Genomic DNA, 10,499 nt, shown 5'->3' with positions numbered 1-10,499 from the left:
CGTGAGCTTGCGACTGGCATCTGATGCTGGGGCAGCCTTGTGGAACTGAGCCCTCAACCCGTGCGATCACAGGAAGCAGCCAATTTGCTGTAGTAGCCGTGGCCAACACACTGTCTCTGACAGTGTTCTTGCCCCTGCCCACTCCTTCTTAACGATTCCCTCTCAGCCAGGCATGGTGGCTCACGCCTGTAATTGCAGCTATTTGGGAGACTGAGGCTGGAGGATTGCTTGAGCCCAGGAGTTTGAGACCAGCCTGGACAACTTGGTGAAACTCCAGTACCACTAAAAAATACAAACATTAGCTGAGTGTGGGGGTGCACGCCTGTAATCCCAACTACTTGGGAGGCTGAGGCATGAGAATGGCTTGAACCCAGGAGGCAGAGGTTGCAGTGAGCAGAGATTGCGCCACTGCACTCCAGCCTGGGTGATGAGAGTGAGGCTCTGTCTCAAAAAAAAAAAAAAAAAAAAAAAAAGATTTCCCTTCTTAAACTTGCTTCCAACTGCTTTAAATCTGTGAGTGCCATCTGTTTCTAGTGGGGAGGCTCCCTGCATCATGACTGGACTCAGGTACTGCAGAGCAGGAAGGGGCACTTGGCAGCCATGTGGGAGATGCACAGGGAAGTGTCAGCAGCATTTCACGCTATTTATTCCCCAAAACCTTCTGCCATAGAAGACAGCCACCATACAGATTGGAAAATGTGGACGAGGAGAAAAGGGGTGTATGGTAAGCAAAATAAATTGTATTTTTCCATCCTTGGGGAGGATAAAGGAACTCTTTGCACTGCTATAATAAACAGCCCCCAAATGCCAGTGGTTTAATTCAGTGGAGTTCAGACCTCATTCCTATATCATTGCAGTGTGGATGCTCCTGGATGAAGGCTCTTGTAGGTAACTCTCCTCCAGTCGGTGATTCAGGGACCCAGCCTCCTTCTGCCTTGCGGCTTTGCCTTTTAAAGGTCCTCAGGGTGCTCTCCATGTATCTTGCCAATGGGGAACGAGTGTGGAGGACTCACAAGCGGGTCTCACATCACGTCCTCCGGGGCTAATACACATCCCTTCTCCCCACACTCTGTTGGTCAGAAGTCACTGCTTGGCGCCCTGCTACCTGCAGGAGGGGAAGTGTTTTTAGATGCAGGGCCAGGATTATTAGTGAGGCAGGCGAGGCAGTTGCTTCAGAGATCAGATTTAAGTGGGAGGTGGCAAAAACTCAGGAGAATTTGTGGCAGGCTGGGCTTGTGGGGTTCTTAGCAGCACAGTCCCTGATTTCCAAACCCGTCCCCTGCCCGCACCTGTACTCCCCACTCCCTTGGGGAGGCCCAGCACTCAGCTGGCTGGGGTTGTGGCTTTAGTCCGCTGCTGACGTGTAGGGGGACCAACAGTGAGTCAGGGTGGCATCCAGGTGATAGCAGTCTCCATCCCACCTTCTCTGCTGCGCCCTAGGCTGAGGCCCTCCTTAGAGGGACCAGAGCAGCAGATCAGCTCTGCCCAAACCCATCAGGAAGGGCCTGGGACTCAGCTGGCACCCTGAGGCTCCCCCCCGACCTGTTCTCCCTGTTGTCCACCACGTCATCTCCTGAAACCGCCCCCGCAAAACCTTGCTACCCTCTGTTGGCTTCCTTCGCTCTTGAGCTCTCTGCTCAGCCCCAACCTGGCTCCCTCTATCGCTGAGCCCTCGCCCACCCATCTCTTCCTTCCCTCCCCTTCCCTTGACATAGGCACCCCCACCTCTCCCTCCAGGTCCTCAGGGAGACCGCGCCTGTGGTTTCCTTCTGGGTGGCGGCTGTGTCTGCCCTCCAGCCTTGGGAGCCTCATGCTTGGGACTCATGTTTGTGGCTGTTCAAGTTCTGTTGCCACCTCTAGGCCTCCCCTCCCCTCTGGCTGGTCTCACCCTGAATCCTCTGCTGCCTCTCCCACTGTGCCCTGCCCCTCTTGTCCCCCTGGCATCCTTGCAGTGTTTCCCAAGCACTGGGCTCCTGGTCCACAGACATCCCCTCCACCATCCAGCCCCCTCCTGGGAGGGCTCCACGTCCACAGAGACACCCTCTGAACCCAGGCCTCACGGCACCCCTCAACTCCAGGGACCTCCCCTTCCACTTCTACAGGTTTTTTGTTTTTTAATGTTGGGACTGGGAACTCTGAAATATTAACTGCTAGTATCATTTTCATATTGCAACTTTCACTCCTTCCAGCCTAACACCTAAGGTGGGTGCGGTGGCTCACGCGGTGATAATCCCAGGATTGGGAGGCCAAGGTGGGCAGATCACCTGAGGTCAGGAGTTCGAGATCAGCCTGAACAATATGGTGAAAACCTGTCTCTACTAAAATTACAAAAATTAGCCGGGCGTGGTGGCATGTGCCTGTACTCCCAGCTACTCAGGAGGCTGATGCAGAAGAATTGCTTGACCCTGGGAGGTGGAGGTTGTAGTGAGCCAAGATCGCACCACTGCACTCCAGCCTGGGTGACAAAGCGAGACTCTGTCTAAAAAAAAAAAAAAAAAAAAAAACCACCTAGAATTTACCATCCTAACCATTGCTTAGTGTACAGTTTGGCAGTGTTAAGTGTATTCACATGGTTGTGAGACAGATCTCCAGAACATTTTCATCTTGCGAAACTGAAACCCAAAAGTTCTTTTTTTGAGACAGAGTCTTGCTGTGTCACCCAGGCTGCTATACAGTGACGTGATCTCAGCTCACTGCAACCTCCATCTCCTGGGTTCCAGTGATTCTCCTGCCTTAGGTTCCCGAGCAGATGGGATTACAGGTGCCCCCGCCACACCAGCTTATTTTTTGTATTTTTAGTAGAGACAGGGTTTCGCCATGTTGGCCAGGCTGGGCTCGAACTCCAGGCCTCAAGTGATCCACCTACCTCAGCCTTCCAAGGCATGTTCCTCACAGGCGTGAGCCACCACACTGGGCCAGTAAAACTGAAATTCTATGTTCTTTAAATATTAACTCTCCATTCTCATCTCCTCTGTGCCCCTGACAACCACCTTTCTGCTTCCTGTTTCTAGGAATCTGGCTACTCTAGATACCATGTAAGTGGAATCAGACAGTATTTATCTTTTTGTGACTAGCTTATTTCACTTAGCATAATGTCCTCAAGGCTCATTTATACTACAGCATGTGTAAGAATTTCCTTCCCTTTAAAGGTTGAGGCCAAGCATAGTGGCTCACGCCTATAATCCTAGCACTTTGGAAGGCCGAGGTGGGTGGATCCCCTGAGGTCAGGAGTTCGAGACCAGCCTGGCCAACATGGTGAAACCCCGTCTCTACTAAAAATGCAAGAAGTAGCTGGGTGTGGTGGCACACACCTGTGATCCCAGCTACTCGGGAGGCTGAGCCAAGAGAATCCCTTGAACCCAGGAGGCGGAGGTTGCAGTGAACTGAGATTGCACTGCTGCACTCCAGCCTGGGTGACAAAGCAGGACTTTGTCTCAAAATAAATAACTAAATAAAAAAGATTCAATAATATTATTTTTTTCAGAACTTTTTTTTTTTAATAGACAGGATCTTATACTGTCACCCAGGATGGAGTGCAGTGGCACAATCATAGTTCACTACACCCTCAACCTCCTGGGCTCAGGTCATTCTCCTAACCTCAGCTTCCCGAGTAGCTTGGACTACAGACACCGTATTTTGTTTGATGGACATTTCAGTTGATTCTACGTTTGGGGTATTTTGAGTAATGCTACTACAAACATCGGTGTGCAAACACCTCTTCCTGACCCTGCTTTCAATTGGTTGGATAGATGCCCAGAAGTGAGATTGTTGGATCATATGGTAGTTCTACTTTTAATATTGTGGAGGCTAAGGCAACTCCATCTTGGAAGCTAATCTGCCATGGCAGCTTCTGATTAACCCCAGTTCTGGGAAGGCCTCTAAGATTTCCAGTTGATCTATCGTTCTTGTGTAAGAGCAGGTACGTATCATAAATCCTGCCCTGGAGTCAAACAACCTTGATGTGATCATACTTCACCTGTAGAATACAAACCATCCTTCCCCTGTGGAATAAAAACCATGGGTCTGGGGATGATGGTGCAAGGACCCACCATCTTGTCTCATCACCCTATGTTTTCTCCTGTATTTTCTTCTAGACACTGGACAGTTTTGGGTCTTACATTGAAGTCTTTAATCCATTTTGAGTTAATTTTTTGGCAGAGATGCACCTTTATGTTTTGCATGTGAGTACCCAGCTTTCTCAACACCATTTGTTGAAGAAACTATTCTTCGTCGAGTGGTCATCTTGGCACCCTTGTTGAGGATCATTTGACTATCTATGTGAGGGTTTATTTGTGGGCTCTGTATTCTATTCCACTGCTCTATTTATGTCTTTTTTTTTTTTTTTGAGATGGAGTTTCACTCTTGTTGCCCAGGCTGGAATGCAATGGCGTGATCTTGGCTGACTGCAACCTCTGCCTCCCGGGTTCAAGTGATTCTCCTGCCTCAGCCTCCCGATTAGCTGGGATTACAGACATGCGCCACCACGCCTGGCTAATTTTGTATTTTTAGTAGAGATGGGGTTTCTCCATGTTGGTCAGGCTGGTCTCGAACTCCTAATCTCAGGTGATCCACCCAGCTCAGCCTCCCAAAGTGCTGGGATTACAGGCTGAGCCACTGCACCTGGCCTATTTATGTCTTTATTTCAGTACCACATCGTTTTGATTACCATAGTTTTTAATACATTTTGAAATCAGGGAATGCGTGTCCTCTCTGTTCACGTTTCTAAAGATTATTTTGGTTTGTGGTAGTGCTTTCAGATTCCATTTGAATTTCAGGATGAATTTTTTGTTTGAGCAAAAACAATGCCATTGGGGTTTTCATAGGATTTGCATTGGATCTGGAGATTGTTGTTGGTGGCATGGACACCTTGACAATATTAATCTTTCCACTCCACGAACAAGAATGTCATCCACCTATTTGTGTCTTCTTTCATTTGTTCAGCAATGTTTTGTAGTTTCAGTGTACAAGTCTTTCACCTCCCTGGTTAGGTTTATTCCTAAAGATCTTACTTTATTTTTTGACATTATTGTAAATGGAATTGTTTTCTTAATTTTCTTTTCAGATTGTTTATGTTTAGTGCACAGAAATGTAATACATTTTTGCTTGCATGTTAAATTGGTTTCCTGGAACTTTGCTGAATTCATTCATTCAACAGGTAATTTTGTGCAATACTTAGGATTTTCTACATATGAGATCTTGTCACCTGCAAACAGAGATCATTTTGCTTGTTCCTTTTCAAATTAGATGCCTTTTTATCCCTTGCCTAATTGCCTAATTGCTCTGGCTAGGACTTCAAATCTTTTTTTTTTTTTTTTTTTTTTAAGTAGAGATGGGGTTTTGCCATGTTGGCCAGGGTGGTCTCAAACTCATAGCCTCATGTAATCCACCTGCCTCGACTTCCAAAAGTGCTGGGATTACAGGTGTGAGCCACTGTGACCAGCCTGACTTCAAATCCTGTGTTGAATAGAAGTAGTGAGATCGGGCATCCTTCTCTTATTCCTGATCTTGGAGGCAAAGATTTCAGTCTTTCACCTAAAATGACTGAAAGACTTTCAGCCATGGGCCTTGCATGACTGGCCTTTATTTTGTTGCTGTACATTCCTTCTTTTCCTGGTTTTGGAGTGTTTTACCAGGAAAGGGTGTTCAGGCTGGGCACCGTGGCTCAGCCTGCAATGCCAGCACTTTGGGAGGCCAAGGTGGGCGGATCACTTGAGGTCGGGAGTTCGAGACCAGCCTGGCCAATATAGTAAAACCACGTTTCTTCCAAAAATACAAAAATTAGCCGGGCATAGTGGTGCACACCTGTAATCCTAGCTCCTCGAAAGGATGAGGTGGAAGAATCGCTTGAACCCGGGAGGCAGAAGTTGCAGTGAGCCAAGATGGCACCACTGCACTCCAGGCTGGGCAACAGAGCGAGGCTCCATCTCAAAAAAAAAAAAGGAAAGGTGTTCAATCTTGTCCAATGTTTTTTCTGTATCAGTTGAGATGATCATGTGGGTTTTGTCCTTCATTCTGCTAATGGGGTGCACTACATTAATTTTCCTGTTTTGGGTGATACATGCATTCCAGGGCTATCTCCAACTTGGTCATGGCGTACAGTCCTTTTAACATGCTGTGAAAGTTGGTTTGCTAGAATTTTGTTGAAGATTTTCCCATCAATATTCACCAGCCTTTTCATCTGTATTTTGTGTATTGTTTTTCTTGCAGGGTCTTTATCTGGCTTTTAGGTCATGGTGTTGCTGACCTCACAGAATGAACCTGGAAGTGTTCCCTCTGTCTTTGGTCATTATCCCACCCTACCTCTTGTTGAACCTCACTGACTTTTGATCCTTTGTAATCTACTATTTTGCAGATTCTCCAAGCTTCCTGCTGACCCCCCTGCTCTCCATTCCTGCTCTCTCAGTAGTTCCTTGACCTTCTGTGATCTCCTGATCTGATTTTCTGCTAGAATCACAGGTGTGAGCCACCGCACCCGGCAAAAATTTTTTTATATAGTTAAATTTATCAGTATTTTAATATATGGCTCCTGGGTTTGGTGGTCATACTGACTGTCTCCACTCTATGGTTATAAAATAATCTCACGTGCTTCCATGAGGAAGTTGAGGCACACAACCTTTGTACCCACGAGCCTGTTTCCCTGGCAAGGTTGTGAGGGCAGGATCTGACTGCAGGCAGCCCCTACTCCATGTTCCTCCCCTCTGTGCTTTCATAGCTGATAGGGCGAATCTCCTTTCACTGAAGACTTTCTTTTTTACTTTTTATAGATGGAGTCTCGCTCTATCAGCCAGGCTGGAGTGCAGTGTCACCATCTCGGCTCACTGCAGCCTCCACCTCCTGGGTTCAAGCAATTCTCCTGCCTCAGCTTCCTGAGTAGCTTGGACTACAGGTGTCGGCCACCATGCCTGGCTAATTTTTTGTGTTTTTAATTGAGATGGGGTTTCACCATTTTGGCCAGGCTGGTCTTGAACGCCTGACCTCAGGTGATCCAGCCGCCTTGGCCTCCCAAGGTGCTGGGATTATAGGCATTAGCCACCGTGCCTGGCCTGAAGACTTTCTTGATGGTAACTTACTGTCAGGTTTGGAGGATATTGAGGTAGAACTCATTGCTGCCTGGAGCCTTGTCCTCTCTTTTGAACTGGAAATGTGTACATCCAAGTTTCCAATGGACAACTCTGCTGAGATGCCACACATGGATCTCCCGTATAACAGATTCCAAACTGGCCGGGTGCGGTGGCTCAAGCCTGTAATCCCAGCACTTTGGAAGGCCGAGGCAGGCGGATCACGAGGTCAGGAGATCGAGACCATCCTGGCTAACAGAGTGAAACCCCGTCTCTACTAAAACTACAAAAAATTAGCCAGGTGTGGTGGCGGGCGCCTGTAGTCCCAGCTACTCAGGAGGCTGAGGCAGGAGAATGGCTTGAACCCAGGAGGGGGAGCTTGCAGTGAGCCGAGATTGTGCCACTGCACTCCAGCCTGGGCGACAGAACAAAACTCTGTCTCAAAAACAAAAAACAAAACAAAACAAAAAAACAAATTCCGAACTAAACGAGGCATCGCTCCCCTCCAAACATAGTCTCCTCCTCTATTGTCTACTGTAGTTGGTGGTTTCATCATAGCCCCATGCACCCAAGTGGAAACGGGTGCTTCTTCCTGCTCCCTTGCCCCTACATCAATCTAACAATCTCATTGGTTTTTATTACTTAATCTTTTCTAGGATCTGGCCCTTTCCCTCTCTCCACCTCACTCCTGCACTGCACTGACCCAGCCTGGCCCACCTCTGGCCATTCCTCCATAGACTGAGGTCTCTCATGGGGAACTGAGGTCACCCTTTGCTGCCTCACGCTGCCTCTGGGATCAGAGGCTCTTGGATGTGATTTCTAAGGTCATCTCCTCTTCTCTCCTCTCCTGCCTCCTTCACCAGCACCAAGCTTCCTACAGCTCCTGGAATGGTTTCCTCCACCCACAAGGAAAGTGAGTGACCTCTACACAATCCTCACCTCTTGCCAGGCTAATTCTTTTCTTTTTTGAGACATCTGCAGATGCCACCTCCTGTGGGAAGTCCTCCCTGATTACCTCTCTCTCCTCCCACCCTTGTTTAGCAATACCATAGTTCTTTCTCAATGAAGCAATTAGTCCTTGAGGCAACTGACAACTCCACACCCCCAGTTCCCTGAGAGCAGAGCCTATGCTTTATATACTTTGCTTCTCCAGTTTCAAGCCAGGCCGTGGCAGGAGGGCAGTCAGCCAGTGCCTGCTGAGCTCAGCCCAATTCTGGTCCCTTCTCCTCTCTCTGTTCTTTTCCCAGGGCAGGCCCTCCCCTCCCCAGGAACCTTCAGGGGAGCGTGGATGATTGATGACTGAGAGAGAAGTTGGGGGGATCCAGCTGTGTGGAGAGGGCTGGGGGCTTTTTTTGTTTGTTTGTTTGTTTGTTTGAGACAGAGTCTTGTTCTGTCACCAGGCTGGAGTGCAGTGGCACGACCTTGACTCACTGCAACCTCTGCCTCCCGGGTTCAAGCGATTCTCCTGCCTCAGCCTCCTGAGTAGCTGGGACTATAAGCGTGTGCCACCATGCCCAGCTAATTTTTGTATTTTTAGTAGACATGGGGTGTCACCATGTTGGCCAGGATGGTCTTGATCTCTTGGCCTTGTGATCCACCTGCCTTGGGCTCCCAAAGTGCTGGGATTACAGGCATGAGCCACCGCGCCCAGGCTGGGGGTTCTCACATGTGACCCTGCACCACCCCACTGCAGGAGGCCCCCGAGATGCAGACGCCCCAGCACAGGCCAGAGTCGGCCTTGGTGGGCTTGAGGGGAGCCAGCAGGGTCTGCATATTTCTGAAGTCCCTTAGCTGCAGGTGGGCTCAGAGAAACCCCCAGCTGGGAAGCTTGAGGAGACAGTGCGTTCTGGGCACTTACCTTTCCTTCTCCTCCACCACAGGAGGAGGAGGCACAGCAGTCCCAAAATGACAGTTTTGAGCACAGCGACAGCCAATGCAACCCTGATGGCAGTGTCCAGACTTAGGTGCCATGATTCTGAGTGCCCTTTGCTTTCTGTGACCCTGAGGCCGGCTATGGTGGTTGTGCTGCTGGGCCTCCAGGTGGTGGTGGTTGTGACAGCTGGAAGAGATGAGGAATGAGCAGACCCTCTTCTGGGGGTGTGGGGCGTCTGGATGAAAGGCATGGTGTGCTGCTTTCTAGATTGGGGACATTCAGGATGAGCAAGCTGCTCTCAGAAGCCCAGACATGGAAGGGGTAGCAAGGTGAAATGCTAACAGCTCTCAATCCAGACCACTGGGTTTAAATGTGAAGACATCAGTGGTCACCAAAACCCTCACTGCGGTGGGCAAGGCAGGTGTCAGGGCAGCTGGACTCACCCTGGGTGATGGTGAGTTTGGTCCCCTTGATGGACTGCAACTGCTGCCTCCCTGATCTCCGGGTGTCCAGCTCGACTCGGCAGAAATACACAGACTGGTCCTCCTTCCGCAGGTTTGAGATCCTGAGGAAGCCGCTCTCCTGACCCTCTGTCCAGTTCAGAAAGAGCCGGTTCACATAATCCTTGTGAATGGAAGGCGGCCTTGTGCTGTAGAAGGACTGCCCGTGGAAGTGGCCCCGTCTCCAGGATATTCTCACGTTGGGAACTATGGCTAACTCCCAGGGGTAATAGAAGGAGAAGGGGATTTCCACAGAGCCACCCATGGAGGCTGAGAGGTGTTTTGGTTGAGTGACCCCATAAAGGTAGCTTGGACCAGATCCTGTGGAGCCACCTAGAGGAAGGAGGGAGTGAGTGGGGGAGAGACCTTGAAACCACCTCAGGACACAAAGAGGGTGACCCCAGACCCTCCCACACCTTCACCCACAGGCAGTCGTGTGACAGGTGGCTGGACTGACCTCTGGCCTGGGTCTCCCACTCTTCAGGCATGGGGGAGGGTGGAGGGGGAAGAGATGGCGGCACCCACCCCTATGGGACCCGCCCTTGTTTGCTGGAGGTGGGAGCCTGGCCCCTGCCCCAGATGTTCTGCCTTTGTCTTGGGTTGGCCCCTCCTGTGGTTTGGGCAGAGACCATACCTGGGCGGTCCTGGGTACTCACCAGGCTGCAGAAATGCTGGCGGCTGCAGCAGGAGCAGCAGGGGCAGCAGCAGGGGCCGACCCATGGCCTTGTTCTTCTCCAGGGGACGGGGAGACCAGCAGAGCTGTCCAGGCAGGAGAGGGGCCCTGTGGAGGGGCTGCCTGAGGGCTGAGGTGAGTGGGGAGAGCCAGGGTGAGGCTCCCCAGAGGGCTGTGGGGGCCGGGGACCTTCCCCAAACCAGTACACCTCCAGGGTGACCAGCACTTCCTTTATCCATCTGGCTTCTTATTGCAAAAGGGCCTTAGGTGCCTTTTTATCCCTTGCCTAATTGCTCCGGCCAGGACTTCAAATCCTTTTTTTTTTTTTTTTTTTAGTAGAGATGGGGTTTTGCCATGTTGGCCAGGGTGGTCTCACACTCATAGGCTCAAGTAAT

At 50.0% G+C, this 10,499-nt stretch overlaps 1 protein-coding gene and 1 long non-coding RNA gene across 4 annotated transcripts in view, besides 4 other annotated features; both read right to left on the bottom strand.

Moving 5' to 3' along the window:
* PILRB (paired immunoglobin like type 2 receptor beta) lies at nt 623-10,337 on the bottom strand. Of its 2 annotated transcripts, NM_001371931.2 has the most exons (5): nt 10,088-10,337; nt 9,375-9,764; nt 8,917-9,117; nt 7,071-7,241; nt 623-1,105 (listed from the first exon to the last, which is right to left on the bottom strand). In NM_001371931.2, the coding sequence occupies exons 1-5, from the start codon at nt 10,149-10,151 to the stop codon at nt 1,077-1,079; spliced, it is 855 nt and encodes a 284-aa protein (NP_001358860.1). In that variant the 5' UTR covers nt 10,152-10,337; the 3' UTR covers nt 623-1,076. The 2 variants fall into 2 exon arrangements, with proteins under 2 accessions (NP_001358860.1, NP_839956.1); NM_178238.4 differs by lacking the exon at nt 7,071-7,241.
* The window catches only part of STAG3L5P-PVRIG2P-PILRB (STAG3L5P-PVRIG2P-PILRB readthrough), a 31,767-nt gene continuing 21,890 nt past the window's right edge, over nt 623-10,499 (bottom strand). Inside the window, exons 14-17 of one of the 2 annotated variants that reach the window (NR_036570.1) lie at nt 10,088-10,234; nt 9,375-9,555; nt 8,917-9,117; nt 623-1,105 (exon numbers count right to left, since the gene is read on the bottom strand). This is a non-coding gene — a long non-coding RNA (STAG3L5P-PVRIG2P-PILRB readthrough). Of the gene's footprint in view, nt 1,106-8,916; nt 9,118-9,374; nt 9,765-10,087; nt 10,235-10,499 lie in introns of both variants that reach the window. The other variant, NR_036569.1, reaches the window with a different exon arrangement.
* Nucleotides 1,660-1,739: an enhancer, noted in NCBI's record as "active region_26359". NCBI's record gives its function as "activates an Ori minimal core promoter by ATAC-STARR-seq in GM12878 lymphoblastoid cells {active_cell/tissue: GM12878}" and the evidence as "EXISTENCE:reporter gene assay evidence [ECO:0000049][PMID:35858748]".
* Nucleotides 2,590-2,639: an enhancer, noted in NCBI's record as "active region_26358". NCBI's record gives its function as "activates an Ori minimal core promoter by ATAC-STARR-seq in GM12878 lymphoblastoid cells {active_cell/tissue: GM12878}" and the evidence as "EXISTENCE:reporter gene assay evidence [ECO:0000049][PMID:35858748]".
* Nucleotides 2,660-2,709: an enhancer, noted in NCBI's record as "active region_26357". NCBI's record gives its function as "activates an Ori minimal core promoter by ATAC-STARR-seq in GM12878 lymphoblastoid cells {active_cell/tissue: GM12878}" and the evidence as "EXISTENCE:reporter gene assay evidence [ECO:0000049][PMID:35858748]".
* Nucleotides 2,740-2,899: an enhancer, noted in NCBI's record as "active region_26356". NCBI's record gives its function as "activates an Ori minimal core promoter by ATAC-STARR-seq in GM12878 lymphoblastoid cells {active_cell/tissue: GM12878}" and the evidence as "EXISTENCE:reporter gene assay evidence [ECO:0000049][PMID:35858748]".

The sequence above is a fragment of the Homo sapiens genome, chromosome 7, assembly GCF_000001405.40.
Source record: "Homo sapiens chromosome 7, GRCh38.p14 Primary Assembly".
In the NCBI taxonomy this organism is placed as follows: Eukaryota; Metazoa; Chordata; class Mammalia; order Primates; family Hominidae; genus Homo; species Homo sapiens.
This window is presented reverse-complemented; position numbering and strand designations above follow the sequence as displayed.

Coding starts and splice junctions, on each gene's coding strand:
- PILRB (NM_001371931.2), bottom strand. CDS start 10,151: ATGGGTCGGCCCCTGCTGCTGCCCCTGCTGCTCCTGCTGCAGCCGCCA. Junction 9,765..10,087: donor GCCAGCATTTCTGCAGCCTG/GTGAGTACCCAG, acceptor TCCTTCCTCTAG/GTGGCTCCACAGGATCTGGT. Junction 9,118..9,374: donor CAAACTCACCATCACCCAGG/GTGAGTCCAGCT, acceptor CATCTCTTCCAG/CTGTCACAACCACCACCACC.